At 43.9% G+C, this 19,434-nt stretch overlaps 1 protein-coding gene and 1 long non-coding RNA gene across 18 annotated transcripts in view; one reads left to right on the forward strand and one right to left on the reverse strand.

The window, feature by feature from the left end:
- Nucleotides 1–19,434, reverse strand: part of OSBPL10 (oxysterol binding protein like 10) — a 416,868-nt gene that overhangs the window by 41,527 nt on the left and 355,907 nt on the right. For 16 of the 17 annotated variants that reach the window (XM_047447390.1, XM_047447386.1, XM_047447391.1 and 13 more), the window contains one exon: nucleotides 8–157. In XM_047447390.1, coding sequence (XP_047303346.1) covers nucleotides 8–157 — 150 coding nt within the window. Of the gene's footprint in view, nucleotides 1–7; nucleotides 158–6,363; nucleotides 6,810–19,434 lie in introns of those variants that run through there. The other variant, XM_005264845.2, reaches the window with a different exon arrangement.
- On the forward strand, nucleotides 1,862–19,235 carry OSBPL10-AS1 (OSBPL10 antisense RNA 1). Its single transcript, NR_049771.1, has 5 exons — nucleotides 1,862–1,888; nucleotides 8,587–8,714; nucleotides 15,872–15,919; nucleotides 16,428–16,573; nucleotides 19,041–19,235. It is a non-coding gene; the product is annotated as an OSBPL10 antisense RNA 1 (long non-coding RNA).

Genomic DNA, 19,434 nt, shown 5'->3' on the forward strand with positions numbered 1-19,434 from the left:
AACCTACCTTGGTCAAATCCATTCCAAGTTTGAGTTGTGAAATGAGATGAAGAATTATACTACGCTGATCCTCCATGACGCCCAATTCCGTCTCTTCCTTATCTTCATTGTCACTTTTTTCATCTTCAGACAAAACCAATTCAGAGCCTGAGTTTGGCTAAAATGAAATAATCAATAAAAATCACCAGCTGGCCCAATAGAAGTTAGAAATAAAGTGTATGAATTCACATGCTTTGCAATGACAGAAGAAACCCAATCCTGTCCCGGGCAGAGCTCCTCTGTGACCCAGTCCTATTGGCCACGGGGCAGACAAGTCCCCTGGGGGTCGGACCTGTGCCTTGGACACTGCATATCCCCTTTCATCTCTCCCGTCATCCCTGATTAGTGAGTGTAAGGACTTCCCCTGACAAAACAGCTCCCTGTTCTTTAAGAAACTAACTATAGTATATGGGTATGAGCCCCCTTCATTTTGCCTATTAGCAAGTAGGAGTTTACCAAAGTTAGACTCCTGTTAACTTGCACAATCCAGGCCACTTCATATCTAATATAAATTTTTCTGTTTATAAGTAAAAGTTGGATTATCCAGGGACTAAAATTATTTATGGAAAAACGTGCTCTAAGACTATTTCTACCCAAATCAATTAGGATCACTCTAGCAGGTATAAGAAAATGCTGAGAATTGGCATTAATTTAGGGAGGAAGACAACAAATGAAAATTTAAGGCAAAACTGAAACTTTATGATACTACTGGGATTCACACTGGCCAACATACCCTGCTTTCCTCGATGCAAGTTTATTAATTCAATCACTCAATTCCAATTTTTCACATTACATAGAAAACAGGCAACTTAATAAACTGGGCAAGGGGATTATTGCACATAAAATTTTCCAGTATCCAAGTATTAAGGACTCTGGTTACAAGGTTAACTTGCCCTCAGAATTCTATTGAAAGAAGTATCCACATTCCACACTCCACATTTACCTATGTTCTTATGATGCTTGCTTACATATAAGCAAAAGCACTCTGCACAGAACATTATACATTTCTTTCCAATTATCAATAACAGGTCAGACATAATATACAGAAATTCAGAAGCTCAAAGATGTTAAACATGAAAGGATACAGACTTGTCCAAATGTCCATGCAAAAAACGAACAATTTACTAACCTCATTAGACAGAATCATCTTATATCTACAGGCACTTCTAACATACAAAGGTTATTTTAGTGGTCAAGGTGTTTAAAATTGTCTGGCCTTACATACCCACACGGACCATTCCTTTCCAACATTCCAAAGAGAGGTAATAACGGTGTTCCTTCCCTCCTGGGGTAGGCATTTTTAAAACTTCAACGTAAATAGACGTTTTCCACAGACATACTCCTAAGGTGTTCTCAATCAGCTCTAAATAACCCCAATTCTAAAGAGATGGTTGGGAAGATCTCAGTGAAGCCCACAGGATATTCCCCCAGCCAAAAGCTGAGTTTTCTTTTATTATGTGCCCAGTTCTCTAGCCACCTCATAATGGGTATTATCTGACGTCATTGGCAAGTTGCTTTGCTAGATTATGCTGAAATAATTGAGGAATCCTTACCTATGCTAACCCTGAGAGGAAGAGCCAGAGAGGGAAGTCTCTGAGCTGTGAGCTACCCTGATTCTACACTGGGAAGTTAGGGGTAGAAGCACACAGGAGCCCAGCACTTACAGCCAGTGGCCCTGGGGGTCTCCTCCAGCTCCACCTCATGACACCCCGTGCTGCTGCGTGACTGCTCCTGGTGCCAAGGCCACCGCTGCCATGAGTCTGAATGGCTAATGCTGAGATTAGCAGGGCCTCCCTTCTACTGGCCTGTCCTCCTGGCTCTCCTCCCTTTTGCCTCTTCTGGATTTCAGGTCAGTTTGAAAGTGGGTGGCTGTCTCAGCTCCCTGTGAGCTTCCATTTCCAGTCTACGCTACGGAAGTCAGAGAGCTCAGACACAAATCCCTCCCAATGGCAAAGGTGCTATAGCTGCAACTTCCTCTGCAGTGACCCGGTGGGCAGTAATCTGTATTAGCAGAATTCCTCTCATGCCAGCACCAGCTGGGGGAGGAGAGGGTAGTGCCTGGGCATTCTGCTTTGGGAAGAAAAAGGACAATCAAAACCAAGTGAAATCCAACCACCATGGTGTACCCAACAGGTGGAGTGGGCTGCAAAGTCCTTAAACATCTCAACAGGAGAAGTAGCTCCATTTTGCGGGCAATTATTTTCTGCTTGAAATTAGCTGTTCTCACCAAGAATGGACTGCATACTAAATCAATTGCTCCACTGAGGCTGCCATAAGCTTCATGAAGCAAAGAATGATTCATTCTTCTAAAGCTGTGATTTCCTATTTGCTCACAAGCCATTGCAGGGGAAATCCTCATCTTTCCCACTCACTGCTACACTCACTGTGATGTGTTTATAGACCTTCGGGGACCACACCTCCTCCAGCTGTCTGCCTTACTCGAAAATTAGACCCAGCTTGTCCCTGACTTCTAGTAGCCAGAAAGTCTTCCACAAGATCCAGCCGCATGATACGGAGTACACACATAAATGTGAAAACAAACCCCTCCATCCTTTCCCACTGTAAATCAACAGCACATGCCCTCTGTGTCTGACAATTCCTCTCAAAGACAGTGGCTCCAGCAGAGGAAATTAAGGCTGGTGCAGGTGCCCCAGAAGCTGAGTCATCCGGGATGACTGGTGGCCCTGAAGTCCCGCCCACAGAAGGACGGCCATGGGAGCCTGGCACACTGCCCCTTGGTGGCACAAATCCTGAGCAAGCCATGCCCTAACCTTAAACAAGGACCTAGGACTGTTTTCTCTCCCACAGCCTCTGAGAACTTGCCCTTTCTCTCCCAATGTGATTTGTAAACAATTCTCCTACCCAGCCTCAAGTAAATATCAGAGTTAAGCTGGTTTCATACACCATGTTGACAGTAAACATCTTAGAGGACACTTTCAATCCACCCACACTGCAGCTCAGTCCATCTGCACAAAGAGAAGACCCCCCCCCCCACCCCCATCGCGGTCCAACTTGGGGGTACATAGATGGAAAGGCAGCAGTAGTCAGCAGGTCAACTCTGTCTGAAAGAGGTCCATGGCAATGTAAATACCAATCTACTGGCAACCACAAAGCACCCACATAGACAGGCACTGCAAGGAATGGAGGGTTTGAAGAAGCAGGTCTTGATGGAGTTTTAAAGACACAAAACCTCCTTCCCTTTCAGGGTCAAGGGTTTGTTGATTCCGCTACTCTGATGTGGAATTCAAAGAGATGGATAATTATCATCCTTTCTAAGTGCTGTTTTCCATAATCAGGTCCCCGTGCTTATCCACATCCACACTCCCCTTCTCTCACAAAGTCCTACTTGTCTCCTGGGAGCCCCTGCACGCCTCCCCTCTCTGAATCTCTGCGAATTTTCACTTATAAAACAGTAACAACTCTCTCAAGGTCATCAAAAATGGCAGAACAGTGTTCCCCCATCTCTGAAAAATATGAATGTGAGAAACGGTTTCATACTGCTGAGAGAATTTATAAGACTTAAGCAGAAGAATCTTCAGATCCCCCATCCCCCAGAGATTTTTGCAAATGAGCCAGCCCAGCCACAAAAATGTATGCAAACTTGAAGATAAAATGGAATTAAAATATGTTTTAAAGAGAAGCAGGCTTTGGAAAAATGAGGATTTTAATAAAAACAGAAATTACGACAATATTTCTACCACACAAGCACCTCAGGGCATATGGTGCTACAAAAATCAAGCAACTGTGCCTATTAGCAAATGGGGAGAACGATAAGCGAAAAATCAATGGGCAGGAAAAAGCTTCACGGGCAGGCTGGGGTTTAGGGACATTCCCTGGTGACCCACAGTGACCTGTGCCCGGAGCAAGGGTTCTTGGCCTGGGTCACATGGACAGCCCTTAAGATATCCACCCCCATCCTTGAAATTTTATGCAAAAATTGTAAGTCTGGGCATTTTTCTGAAGAGGGGGTCCATAGCTCCCCTTGGATTCTTAGAAGGGTCTCTGCCCCTTCGCTGACCTCCAGCCTCTTGAGGACCAAAGGCTGAGACCATGTGAGAGATGGGGTCTTGGGCTGGGAATGGTCCAATCCAAGACAGTCACAGCATCTACAGATGTGACTCTGCCCTTAACCATGGGCCTCTGCTTCTTATCTAGTAAGGAGAAGGAGATATATGGGGCTATGCCACCGAGGCCAAAGCCAGGAGGCAAAACTGTGACGTGTGTTAGGTTTGTGTGGGTCCAACAGTCTTCTCAATGGGAACATCAATGTGGGAGAAACATTTAGCTTTGCTTTCATCTCTTAAACAAATATCTTAATTCTTCAATACAAATGCAGATTTCAAGCATGACTGAAATGCCAATCTTTTTATTCAATACATATATGTAATGTAACTACAGTTTGTGTCCCTCCCAGGAAAAAGCATGAAATAGACATTTGTCTGCAGAGTCCACTCATTTCCCTGTCACAGGCTTCGTTCACTCCACCCATGTCCCCAAAGGTACTCTCTTTCCTGGCACTTCACTCCTGCTTTCCCCTCCTCAGACAGATGACTCCCACCCCACCCCACCCTTCCTGCTTTAGTGAACTGCCTTCTCTCTTAACCTAGACCTGGCCTTCAGGTAGCTGGGGTCAACACAAGCAGTTTGATCTACTAACATCTCCTTTATTTGTACATGGCCTTATAACCTAATATCTTAATTCAGAGGACTGAATCCTCACTGGTTAGATTTGAGATATCATGGCAGAAGCCTGCGTGGTTCCATTACCTAACCATTAAAGATGCATTTTGCCTTTGGACAGGGAGCTTTTCTGTGCCAAACCAGGAATCACAGACATGCAGGGGCAAGAGGGTCTACTCTAGCACGGATTAAGACGACCTCCTAAAGCCATCTTATGCCCAAGTAAATAAGTATCCAATAAACAGACAATATCTCAACAGAAAAACAGCACCCACTGAACTCAAGTGACCTGCAACTTTCCTGAAAACCTATATGGCAAGGACAGACAATAAAGCCAGCTAGAGAATGAACATCAAATTCTCTTTTAGCAGCAAGCATATTGCAGTTCAATCATTTTTAAAGCCTGGCAACTTTCCCCACACACTGTTAACTTGGCAAGGAGGCACTGGGGTGAACTGAGCCATACCAAAAAACCTTGGCACTGAGTGACAAGACCATACACATCTAGATATGATCTTTTTGGGGAAATCTAGCCATGTCAAAAAAAATGGGTAGTCTGAGGGTCACAGAAATGCAGGCAGTAGGTGAGAAGACCCAAAGCACCATGCTCAGATATCCTCAGAAAAGAGAACTGTCAGGTACACAGCAGCATGGCAAAGAAGTAACCAGGGAATGATGTCCCCTCATAGACAAATTATTTCTCAATTCCATAACTACACAGAACAGGCAATAACATGCACTAATGGCCACCAGGGCAAGTGTACTTATGTTTTCTAGGGGAAAAGAGTCAACAGAGGCTGGTTTCCCAACAAATGAGAGGTTCTAGAAAAATAAAGAGTGTGGAGTTGAGACATAGATAGAGGCTAGGGACTGGAGAGATTGGAAGAGTAGGCAAGTAGAAGACAAAGGGGATAAATCAAGAAACACAGTGATTTTACAGAAGAGAAACAAAGGGGTCTCAGTGTCTATGAGGAGCAAGTGCCCAACAACCAATTACTGAATCCATTTTTCAGGTCTTCAGTTAAAATTTTTAAATTTTTTATTAAATTAGAGACAGGGTCTTGCTATGTTGCCAAAGTTGGTCTCAAACTCCTGGCCCTCAAGTGATCCTCCCATCTTGGCCTCCCAAAGTGCTGGGATCACAGGCATGAACCACTGCACCCGACCTTCAGTTCTAACAATAATAGTGTTAGTGTTTGCAGTACAGAATCCATAAAACCAAGGACTTAGTCCCTTTTATCTCTAGTCATTTTCTCATTCCAATATGTACAGCATATTTAACCAAATTATCACAATCATTACATAATCCTCACAGTGTATCTTCACAATCAGTGACATTTCTTAAGAAGCCCCATCTAACAGGCAAAGGTCATGAAAACTGACATAGCCACATCTGAAGATCCAGTCCGACTCTGTATATATGTCAATAACATCAGCATAGCCCAGGGTATATAAAGACGGCCAGCAATCCAGGAAATTTCACTTGGCCTTCTTGTACCCATTTCCAATAAGCAACTCATATCACATGACTACCAAGTGCAAGGCATTCACTACTACATGCTTGGAAAAAGTATCTCCCCTGAGGACACAGAGATAGAAAGTTTTGGCATATGAATGCCAAATGGTTGATCCTGATGAACCTACTGTCCTTCCCACACACTGCACAGGTGAGATTTCTCCTCTGGAAGAGTCTTTTTGGTGGCTGTGTCTAATTCTCCAAAAGTAGGCCATCTTTGTTGGGTAGAGGGTATCTCAGCTGAAAGGGTGGATGTTCCACTTTGGTCAGAAGTCATGCCGAAGACAGAAGCTGTGGACACATGCCTTCAGCTGGTGTCTGGTATAGCTGGTACCCCTTGGCCCTGCTGCAGGGCGGCTGTTGAAGGCTCCTGCACACGTACTATCCTCTACATGGAGCCACTTCCAAAGCCAGGCAACCAACTGTGCCTCAAAGGCCACCGGCGAATTTAGGGGACCTTATCTTGCCATTTGGAGGTAGATTCAACAACGAGGCCACTGTGAGGGGAACCCGATGGAGAAGCTGGATCTTATCCTTGACAGGTCCAAGTACACGCATGTCCACACAGCAAGCTAGTCCCAGCTGCCTTTCGGAGATGCTGAGTTTGTCGTCACTGACATCACAATCCTCCTGCCGCCTCCCAGGGGATGAGCTGGCTGGCTGGCTCTAACCACACATACACACACATTTACCACACTTGGCTCTTATAGACTGGAAGGACAGATGCTCTTCCTGAGCAAAGGGGCCGACCTGCAGAAAGGTTAGTTTTAAATAAAACACACCCTGGAAGGCAGAAGGAAGTCACTTCTGGGGAGGGGAGAGAGTGGGGGCATTTGTCATCAGCCAAGATAATTGGGAACAATTATATTGAGAGGATTCAACAGGCGTTCCTTTAAAACATTCGAGGGAAGCATTCACAGGAAATAGCAGCATGTCTTTGTCTAATTTCTACATTTCTGATTAGAAACCAGAGTCCTGCTATTTTTAAATGAAAGGGAAAAAAAGAAATCAAGAAATAGCAAGGAAAACCTAAAGAAAGTACAAAAAAGAAAAGGGAAGAAGCAGCGGCAAATGAAGGGGTAGGCAACAATTTTGCAGCTGAGCTTTTGGAGCGTGCCAGTATGAATACCAACTGCCAGCGTGCAGAATCCCAGAGGCTGCAAATCAAGCTTAGCATCAGCCTGCTGCCTGGAAAAGCAGGGAAAGGGCAGGGCCCCAACAAGACAGAGAGGGCCTCCTAGGTGCCAAGCACTGTGTCAGGTGCTTTACAGCATCTCAATGAGCAAGACACTAGCACTTTAAAACCAAATCCAGCGCTGAATTAATAACACAGCCAAGAGCTCTGAAAGACACCCTGAAAGCAAAGCTGTTTATGATTGTGGGGCCAAGGTCTTCAGGCAGCACCGATCACAGGAAGCTCATGAGTATTTGGGATAAAAGTCATAGTGAGGATAAGGAAGAGGCCATGAAATCAGAGACCACCACAGCTTTAGGAGACAGAGATGCACAAAAGGAAAGCTTGGAGATCTGGCTGCAGATAGTCCTGGAGATAAATCCTAAAGACGCTATGCCCCACCTGTAAGGCTCAGCCTTCCTGTCTCTAAAATGGAGATGGTACCACCTCTCATATCTGAGAGGCCTGCTCTAGGTCTCAACAAGGCAAAGCGTGTAAAGCACTGAACACAGTGGCTGGCACACAAGAAGTGCTTGGTAAACAGCCATGCTCTGACGAGGCCTGTGACGTTCGTACTGGGCACACAGTGGTATGTTGACTTGAGGTTGCTGCTAACACTCCTGCATCTTCCTACTTGTGCTGCTCCCCTTCTCCCCCCACAGCTTCCCTCTCAAAGCTGATTGACACCACCCAAGCTCCTCTCCTAGGCCTTCCCCACTGAGGGCTTTGGGGCTGCAGGGCCCTGTCCACGAGGTAAGCATCACTTCCCTGGTCTGGAGCTACACTAGGAAAGGATTCAGAGAACTTTCAAATATGTCTCAATCAAGGTCACATGCAAATGTGTGAACTAAGCAAGACAAACACAAAGCAGCAAGTGCAGTGAATCAGAGATAGTATCCCAGCAACCAGCCCCAGAGGACCAGCTGTGGTTTGGAGGTGACAGGAGCAGCAGCCATCCACACCTGCCATCCAAACCTGCCATCCACAGCTACTTGAGTTCTCCAGACCTAGGAAAGGTAGGGAAGAAACTCCTTCAAGACCCCATTCTAGCCTTCCTGGAGCTCTGATAAGAGGGAATGCAATGGGTTTAGACATAAAGGCATAAGGGTAGGTTTAATGGTAAGCAGACACCAGGCCTGAAAGGGTTAATCACCTCAGCCACCTCCAATGCCCACAGGTAACAAAGCACCACATTAGATACTGAAGATAGAAATTTGCTTAAGATATGGTCTCAGCATTCAACAGGCTGGTGTTCTGGTTGAGAAGGAGTACATGGATCTTTCTTTCTCCTACCCCTGGAGACTAGTAAGTTTCAGACTGTAAGTTTCAACTCATGATTTGAGACTTAGTTCAACCATGTTTCACAGAGGTGGAGCCTCCATTCTAGCAAGGAGTCCCTAGGTGCTTCAGACATGCCCATTCTGGCACTTAGCAAAGTGGATTTATGCAAGTGCACACCTACTTTCCAACTGGACCAGAAATGTCAGCCCTCTTTTGGCAAAGGAAAATTGATTATTTGGGGCTGGCTACTCAGGGCCATGGGTGGAGGTGGACGTAGAGGCCATATACAAATCTGGGGAGAAAGAATGCTGTGATCAATTAGTAATATCAGCCAGTGGCTCAGGAGGGGAACGCAGTGGCCATGTGGTTGTCAGCTTACCTTAATCGGAATTCTTTCATGGAGGAATCCTAGCTAACTGAGGGTTTCATTTCTAGAATTCCAACACAAAGGGTGGTTTATAACAGATGTACAGTAAGTTCTTAAAAGGAATGAATTTATAAAACCAAAAAGAAAGCATGGGAAACTTGAGTGTGCAAGGACAAAATCTAGATTTAACAGGACAGCCAGTCACAGAAGGCCAGGTGTTGTGATTCCACTTCTATGAGACATCCAAGACAGGCAACAAAGATTAGTGGTTGCCAGAGGCTGCGAGGATGGGTGGAATGGGGGTGACAGCTAAAGGGTCCAGGGCTTGTTTTTGAGGTGATGAAAATGTTCTAAAATTGACTGTGGTGACAGTGACATACACCTGTAAATATACTAAAATCCACCAAATGGTTGGTACAATTTAAATGGATAAATTGTATGGCATGCCTATTATATCTCAATAATGTTGTCATCAAAAATAGAAAAATAAATGAAAGGATATATGATGCAAAATCAAATAGCAAAGGCCAGGAGGAAGGGCGTGCCCAGGGTGATCAGAGGGGCTCACACAGAGAAGGCAGACTCTGGGCTGGGTGTCACCAAAGAGGAGCACTTAAAGTAGCCAAGAGAAGGAGGGGACAGTCCAACAGAAGAAATGATGCCAGCCAGGGATGAAGAGAACCTTACTGCAGGGAAGTACAGCTGAGGCCAAGCACATGGTTTTGGCCTTATAATAGGACTCATTCCCTTGGAGAGCCCATCTGGTCCAACAGCTTTCAATAATTTCTAAATGTATGTTTCCTAAGTGTGTATCTCAAGTTCAGCCTTCTCCCCTGAACTCTAGCTTTGTGCACCCAGTGGCCTATTCAACATCTCCCCCTTAGCTATCCGAGGTGGGCAGGATAGCAGACCCCTGAGCTGCCCACATCCTAATTCCCGGAACCTGTGTATACGGCACTTTAAGTGACAAGGGGGCTTTACACATGTGATTACGTTAAGGACCTTGAGATGAGGAGATTAACCTGGATTGCTGAGGTGGCCTTGATGTAAAAACATGAATCGCTAAAGTTAGAGAATCTTTCCACGCTGTGGACAGGAAGAGGAATATAGATGCAACGTTCCTGGCTCTGAAGATGGAGGAAGGGGCTGCAAGCCAAGGAATGTGGGCAGCCTCTAGAAACTGGAAAAGCCAAGGAAACAAATTCTTTCCTAGGGCCTCCAGAAAGCAATGCAGCCCTGCCAACACCTTGATTTCAGCCCACTGAAACCTGTGTCTGACTTCTTATGCAGAACTACGAGATGATAAATTAGCATTGTTTTAAATCAATAAGTCGATGATCATTTGTTACAGCAGTGAAAACACATCACCTAATGGCCATCTCAGACTTACTGTGTCTAAAACAGACCTTTCAATTCATACCTCCAAAATATGATCCTCCTCATCTCAGTAAATAACAGCTTTGTTTTTCTAATCACTTGGCCAAAAGCCTTGGCACCATCCTTGACTTTAATTTCTTGCTTACGCACTGTTCCACATCACATCCATCAGCAACTTCTGCAAATTATATCTAGAATCTCATGGTTTCTCACAACCTCAGCCACTCTGGCAAAGCCACCGTCACCTCTCTCTCCTAATTACTGCAACAGCTTCCCAGTCAGTCTCCTCACAGTAGCTAGAAGGCATCTTAAATCATAAAGTTCATCACATAACTCCTAAGCTGAAAGCCCTCTCCTCTTGACTCAGACTAAATGTCAAAGTCCTGACTGTGGCCCGTGAGGCCCTACACGATGTTGCCCCCACGACTTCTCTACTCTTCTCTTGATCACGCTCCCCTCCTTGTTCATTCTGCTCACCCCTCCCAGCCACCTTCTGTTCTTGGAACACGCAAAGGACAGGCTTACCTCAGGGCCTTTGCACCTGCTCTTATAGGTCTTCTTCATCCATATCCCCCTCACTTCACTCAGATCTTTTTTTAATTTTATTTTATTTATTTATATTTTATTTTGTGACAGAGTCTCACTCTGTTGCCCAGGCTGGAGTGCAGCGGTGTGATCTTGGCTCACTGCAACCTTCCCCTCCCGGGCTTAAGCAATTCTCCTGCCTCAGCCTCCCAAGTAGCTGGAATTACAGGTGCATACCACCATGCCAGGCTAATTTTTGTACTTTTAGTAGAGATGGGGATTAGCCATGTTGCCCGAGCTGGTCTTGAACTCCTGACCTCAAGTGATCCGCCCACCTCATCCTCCCAAAGTGCTGGGATTACAGGCATGAGCCACCGCACCCAGCCTCACTCAGATCTTAACTCCAGTGTCCCCTTACCACAGCAACCTTTGACCGTCTAGGCCAGCACCACTCCCTCTCCTCCCTCTCCACCATTTGCTCCTTCCTCAGCTCTGCTTTTCCTTGCAGCACTGATCACTCTCAACTATATTATATGTGCATTTATCATCTCTCTCCCTTGCAGAAAGTCAGCTCACAGGAAGCAGGACCAAAATGTTTTGCTCGCCGCTGTGGCTTTATCAACAAAAATACTATCTGACACTGACTTATTCGTTGCATAAGTAAAGGAAATAAACAGCTGGCTTTCCCCTATGGAAATGAGGAACTGCTGAAGATTCTGAGGAGGCTGGGTAACAGAACTCAGGCCCTAGGAGATGAATGGTTGGTTAAGTAAGCAACGATATGATTGCACACAGAGGGGATGGGGCACTGAGAGCAGTTTTGGAAGACTCCTGCCACAGTCCAGCGTGAGGGAGACCAACATGCACTGGGGGGTGGTAGTGACATGTTTGACATCCTTCCTTCTCCTCTACTCGGTATACACGTAAGGCTCTGTGTTAGGCGCAGAGGAGGATTACAATCAGTGCAGGACATGGCCTGGGTCACCCTGGACACTGCAGCCTTGCTGGGCAGACAGTAGCTGGGTTTCGAGTTCCCGTATGTGGAAGATCAAACAGTGAGTTATTGCGGGGGCGCAGTAATCAGAGGGGAGGCAAGGAGCTGGCAGCAGGCAGGTAAGGAAGAGAGAGAGAAAGCACGAGAGGCAGCGGGGTGGAGTGAGAGGCAAAATGGACTAGTCAAAACTGTCTGCAGATTCAATTATTCTACTAAACACGATGGGCAAATAGAAAACAGCTAAGACGACACACATGGGCAGGCAGCATTCAGTGGGGAAAAGGGCCGTTCTCATCTCAGCTCCCCTCCTTTCAGCCCTGCGTGCACTCGAGAAAGGAACCCAGCAGCCGCGTCCTGCCTTTCCTGTTTTGCGCACCATCCTCCTAGTCACCCAGGCTTGAGACCTGCAAGTTCCCGGACACCTCCCATCTAGAGAGCCACCTGGCCCACCATCCCTTCCTTTCCTCATCTTTGCTGCTACCACACCCTAGGTTTTGACCACATAAATGTAGGGCCCTGCCAGCCTCCCAGCTCATCCTTCTGCTCCAGACGCCTCCTCTTAACACTGTCTTGTACCACACCACCAGAGTGTTCTTCCCCAGACACCCACTGCTCTGTTCAAAAGTCTTCAATCAAGCACATATTCTCAGGATCTCCTGAGGGCTGTGTCAAAAAAAAAAAAAAAAAAAAAAAGTCTTCAGTTGCTTCCCACTGCCCAGAGGAAAATGTCTACTCAGTCAGTACTTCGGTTTTCCTCAATCTGACCCATACTTCCCCTCCCCTCCTAAACTTCCTCTAGCCTAGTCTGAGGACAGTATACTCACTTCTCACCCTACTCTCTAGACTTGTGCTATCTAATCCAGAAGCTGTTAGTCACATTTAGCTATTTAAAATAATTAAAATTAAACACAATTTAAAATTCTGTTCCTTGATGGCACTAGCCACATTCAGACTAGTGGCTACCATATTGGACAGCATAGAAAGAAAATACTTTCATCATTGCAGCAAGTTTGATTGGAGAGTGGTGCTCTAACTTTTGATGGCCTCCCAATCAATTTCTACTCCTTCCACCAATTGTTATCTACCTGTAAGAACAGCATTGGCACCATGATGCTGGCTCTAACAATCTGGGCAGGAGCAATCCCTCCCTCCTCTAAATCCTATGTGTAAGTTTTACTGGGATCACTCGAACGTTACTGCCATGTCTATCTTTCCTTAATTTCTTGGTAATAGAAAGTTCAGTGGGAAGAGATTATTTTGAAAATCTAAAATTCCTGATGAAACACCACAGAACAATTTTACAAACACCTCCATTTCAAAAACAAACTGATGAAGGAATAATGTAGTTGGGGTGGCCAATAGTAATAAAATGATTCTGTGCCTAAAAACTTAAAGGAATTCTACTACCGATGATTTGCTTCTGTCATAAGCACTGGTCCATGCCGAGACTAGAAGTCTGGCTTTCTATATCCACAGTTGAAATCATTATTGACTTATGCTTTGTGCTGGGTGATGGATTTCTTCTCATCTGCGGATGGTAAATGGCCTTATTCAAAAAGAGACACGAGACTAAAGTCGACGGTACCACATCAGTGATTCTTTCGGAACTGTACACTTGATGCCACTAATTGCTAGACTGCCTTGCTTTTCCCACAAATTATGCAGTTACGGGCCTGAACTCTACGGCAGGGACAGCAGAAAACATGTAAAGCACTGTGGGAATGCAGAGTGGCAGCGGGAAAGGCTCTAAATTAGGTCTACTGTGGTCCCTGGACCTGCAGCAGCAGAATCACTGTGAACTGAATAGAAATACAAGTCTAGGGCCCCCCTCCAGACCTACAGACACAGAAACTCTGGGGGCAGGGCAGAGACCAGTATTTGTTTGGTTTGGGGTTTGTTTATCCTTTTAATTGAAATATAGTTATAACTTATACTTGGTACAATATACAAATCTTATTGTACAGTTCCATGAATTTTGACAAATGTATCACTTTATATCCAACTTCATACTTTTTGTTTAAGTGTATGGTTCAGGAGTATTAACTATAATGACATTATTGTACAACAGATCTCTAGGACTTTTTCATCCTGTATAGCAAACTCTATACCCACTGAACAGCAACTCCCTTGCTCCTCCTCCCTGCTCCCCGAGGCCCTCCAGGAGATTTGGGCGCACTCTAACATTTGAGAAGGTCTGCTCTAATGATCCCCGGCCATGGGGGCTATGAGGAACAGCAGAGAAAAGTAGCAGGTGTGATAGGGGCCTGGCTCCCAGGGAGGAGCAGCACAGGTGGTGTGCTACCAGCCCCTCAGATTCTCCAAACCCAATCCTAGGCGGCCAGTGAGGAGACGGCTCTGGCCTAGATGCTAGGGGGATCCAAACACAGACATATGGACAACTTTTCTCATAAACTTGTGTAGGCACAAGTTGAAGAAAATTATATTCTTCAACATTAGACAAGGTTCCAGAAATTTCATTTGATGACCCCAAAACAGATTCAGAAAGCTATCACCTTTGATTGGATAAGGGTGATTATATTTTCATCAGTGGCCACACCAGGCAGTCATTCAACTCCAACTTTGAATTTTATGTGTCCACTTTAATCATTTATGCTTCTCACCCAGAAATTCCCAAATAACACTCTCCAATGGAAATTTCTGAAGCGTACGATAACACAAAGGAAATAATCAGGAGCATCACAAACCACAGAACGGTTTTGATTTACAAGTCATTAGAAGCAAGAGGCATTTACTGTTCTTTGCAGGCCAAAAGGGACTGCATCATGAATAATGGAAAAAGCAAAATGCATTAAGAACTCTTCGGCAGATAATGTTATAATGTTCTCTCCAGGCCACGCAGAAGGTACATTTATTGAGGACTTTCCATGTGCCAGGCACATGTCAATACATACAGGGTAGCAGCCCAGTCTTTAAGGGATAAAATCAAGCAAGTCCACCCCATTTTGCTTCAAGAGGTAGTTTCTGGATCATTATCTTCTGACTCTCAAACCAGTGATTTGGTACCACAAGCAGATCAAGAGCTAGGAATATCAGAAACAACCCAAAGCTCAGGTCTTATTCTTTTTATTTTTCTTAAAGACAACTCTGGTATACGCCTATTCCGTCCTGATTTCTGTAAATATTAACAAACCAAGAAGAAAGCATCTGGCAGAAAACAGGCTCTAGCATTTTGTAGAAAAAAAAGAAATAAACCAAGAGCGAAACTACCACAGCCCTTAATTCCACAATGAGGAGGCACCAATAATGCCCCATTATAAAGCTGCAATCTCTAAATCCCACTCAATACCTTTTGGTCCAAACAGCAGGCATTTTCTATTCTCTTTAATTTGCATTATGTGTGTCCATTTTTCTAGCCACAGTGACACAGGATATTAAAAGAAGGTTTCCCTGTACTTTTACTCAAATGTGAAATGATACTCAGGATGTAAGAGGGTAATTGCAGCAATTCATATTTTTTTCACATTATTCCGCTGCCATAAACCCCAAATGAGGCTCACTATGTCCTCTGCTTTAAAAACTGTCACATTATCATGCTCTGCTTTGTCCTGCTCTCAAATGCTTCATTCAGTGAAAACTTCCAGGGGAAATTTGTGAGACAGCTGTAATCATCCTGGGGTAATGCAAACGGTATGTAGTAGCACTGTTAATAATCAGAACGGTGGGATTCTTATATTAAGCACAAAAAGAAGGTGAATTTTAAGATACAACTGTGCTCAGGTAGGACCTACAATCCTTTCAATACTAAATATTCTAGTTTTTGTTTGTATCACTCTGTTGCACAGAATTTCCATTTCTTCTTCTTCTTTTTTTTTTTTCTTTTGAGACAAAGTCTCACTCTGCTGTCCAGGCTGGAGTGCAGTGGCGCGATCTCGGCTCACTGCAACCTCTGCCTCCCAGGTTCAAGCGATTCTCCTGCCTCAGCCTCTCAAGTAGCTGGGACTACAGGTACGTGGCACCACACCCAGCTAATTTTTTGTATTTTTAGTAGAGACAGGGTTTCACTGTGTTAGCCAGGATGGTCTCGCTCTCCTGACCTCGTGATCTGTCTTCCTCAGCCTCCCAAAGTGCTGGGATTACAGGCATGAGTCACCATGCCCAGCCCCAGAATTTCCATTTCTGTAGCATAAAATAACACCATGATGACTTTCCAAGCTAGGTTTTCTGTCACTTTAGAGAATTTGTCAATTTAGAGATTTTGACAGAATTCTCTACTCCTGAACACATCTTCATCCCGTTTTCATAAAACAGGATCATGAAACGCATCCTTCATATGAGTTTCAAAAGTTTCAGAACAACTGAGAGTATGTAACACTTTATTGGAAATTGATATTTAACTGAATATTTTATCATGCTACACTTAATCCAATGTCTTTGAATTTCTTTTAAAAACTTTTCTGTCATTAAGTGTTTCATTTTCAAGGAACAAACGAATTGTTTTTTTCAACTTGACAAGTATCCTGCATAAAACTGCATTAAAAACCAGTAACATCAGACCCGGGATGGGGACGGAAGGTCCAAATCAGAACCTCCATGGAATGCATCTCTACATATTTTCACATCTGTTTTCAAGCAAGGAGCAAGACCAGCAAGAAAGTGAGGGTAGGAAAACTACCTCTTCACATGGTGCATTTCTCTTAATAAGAGGACTGCTAGAGTCTTGCTAGATGATGTTTCCAGGAAGGATAAATGTATATATCAGTTAGTGTACATTCCCATAGCTGCTGTTCATCCCTACAAAACAGCCCACATGTAGAATCACCTGCTGGCTCATTCCAGTGGGTGTTCCTGGACAGCAACACATAAAATCCGGGAGCTGAATTTTAAACTAATGCTAAATTATAAAAGGATGTAAGGGGAATCTGACTCTCAAAACGATTCAAGCTAAGGGATCTTCATGAGAAAAAATTTTACAGTGGGGACGTAATCATGTTTGTTGTTACTGCTTCTTACCTCAAAAAATGCACCCAAAAGGTGGAAAAATACTTACTCCACATTATTAAAAATTCACTGGCTTTGTATATTAAAAGAATTCTTAGAAAACATTAATTAGGAAGTCCAGTAACCCAATTGAAAAATATGCAAAGACTATGAACAAGATGTTAAAGACAAAAGAAATACAAACGGCTAATAAATATGTGAAAATATGCTTAACTTCATACATAATTATAAAAAAGGAAATTAAAAACAAGATACCATTAATCTTAAAAATAAAGTGGAAATAAAATAAGAGCTTGACATTCATTTCTTAATGGTGACAGACAGGATAATAGCAACCCTCACACAATGCTGAGAAAGTATACATTTGGCTTAATCTTGGAGGGCAATGTAGTAATACTTATCAAAATTTAAATTCCCACATTTGTTAACTGAATTTCCCTTAAATTCCACTGCCGGAAAGTTTCCCTATATAAGATATATTTCTGTAAGTGTACATAATATATGTAGAGGACAATTTATAATAATGAAAAACTGGACAACCTAAATGCCACTCCTAGGGTCCAGTTAAATAAATTCCTTGTTAAATAAAATATAATACATAACTCCATAAATTATGATATATTCATAGACTGGAATGGCTTTGTAGCTGTTCAAAAGAATGCAAACAATCTCTACGTACTGACAAGGGAAGATACCTAAGATATATTGTCTAATTGACAATTGAAAAGCCATAGAACATTACTCATACTGTGATTCCACTGGTATAAAAAAAGTTAAAGAACATATATATATATTATATATATTTTATATATTATATGTATATGTTTGCTGTAAAAACAAATTTCCCATAAAAGACACACAGTAGCTCCTTCTAAGGAGGTGGCATCAAAAGGAAATACAGGGTTTTTACTTCTGACTTTCTACAGGTTTCTACTGTATTTTTTAATGCAATAATTATGCTGTTTTACAATAATTTTAAAAACCCTCCTCCTACTACTGCCAAAGCACGAACTGTAGAAACTGTAAAAAATGAGACATCATAGTTTCATGTCCGGCTTAATTCTGAGGCTCTTGGGAGATACAGGGAGGAAGGGAGGGGCAATGGCAGGGGCAGCCTGGGAAAAGCAAGTTTGAAAAGGCTTCACTGTGTATAAAAAGCAAAGCCAGGCATTTCTTTTCCAATAATGAGTCCAGCTGAGCTGACTGCTTTCCTCAACAGGAGCAATAGAACAACTTGCTTAATTTCCACCAGCCAGAGGTTGAGCCTAGTTTTATCTCCATGCTCTATGTAATGTATTCTGTGAATGCCAGCCAACTCCCCTGCTGCTGTAGGTGGGAAAATGGCCCAGAGACGGCCAGGCGTGGTGGCTCATGCCTGTAATCTTAGCACTTTGGGAGGCCAAGGTGGGAGGACTGTCTGAGCTCAGGAGTTCGAGACCAGCCTGGGCAACATGGCAACACCCCATCTCTACTCAAAGTACAAAAAATTAGCCGGGCGTGGTGGTGGGTGCCTGTAATCCTAGCTATTGGGGAGGCTGAGGCATGATAATCACTTGAACCTGGAGCCAAGATCACGCTACTGCACTCCAGCCTGGGCAACAGAGCGAGACTCTGTCTCAAAAAAAAAAAAAAAAAAAAAAAGGCCCAAAGATGTCCAAGTCCTGATATGTTAGGTTACATGGCAATAGGGAAATTAAGGTTGCAAATGGAATTGAGTTTGCTAATCAGCTGATCTTAAAACAGGGAGATTTTCCTAGATTATCTGGGTAAGCTCTGTGTAATCACAAGGGCCCTTAAGAGTGGAAGAGGGAAGCAGAAGAGGGAAGTCAGAGGGAGATGGGACTACGGAAGCAGGGTCAATGCTGTTGGCTCTGAAGATGGAGCAATGGGCCCAAGCCAAGGAATGCAGGCAGCCTCTAGAAGCTGGGAAAGCCAAGGAAACAGATTCTACCCTAGAGCGTTCAGAAAGCAACACAGCCCTGCTAACACTTTAAGTTTAGCCCACTGAGACCTGTGTCAGACTTCTAACCAACAGAACTGCAAGAGAATACATTTGTGGTAATTTGTTACAGCAGCAATAGGAAGCTAATGCGACCTACTTATATTTCCTTTATTTCTGTATACACAGACTTCCTCTGATGCACAAACCTGGGATGTGCTGTGCAAATCAGCTACCTGGGCTTCCCACCTGTGGATGCTCACTGACCTGGGGCCGCACCAGGTGATTTCAGGACTTCCTCAGAGAAAACCCAGGCAAGACACCAGCAACAGAGCTACCCTGATAATTATTAAATTAGCTCTATGTGGAGAAGCCATATTTGAATAAGTTATTAGTGGAGGTCCTTTGTAAACCATGCTCCATTATATAAATGGCAGATGTCATTATTTATACCCAGACTACTCCTTTGGAAGACAAAAGAGAAATGAATCTTACTTAGCCTAGAATAGCATGACAACACACGTTCTTAAGTGTTTCCCAACATACTTCATATCTACAAATAAAGATAAGCTAGGTCGGCCAA

Source organism: Homo sapiens, chromosome 3 (genome assembly GCF_000001405.40).
Source record: "Homo sapiens chromosome 3, GRCh38.p14 Primary Assembly".
Classification (NCBI taxonomy): Eukaryota; Metazoa; Chordata; class Mammalia; order Primates; family Hominidae; genus Homo; species Homo sapiens.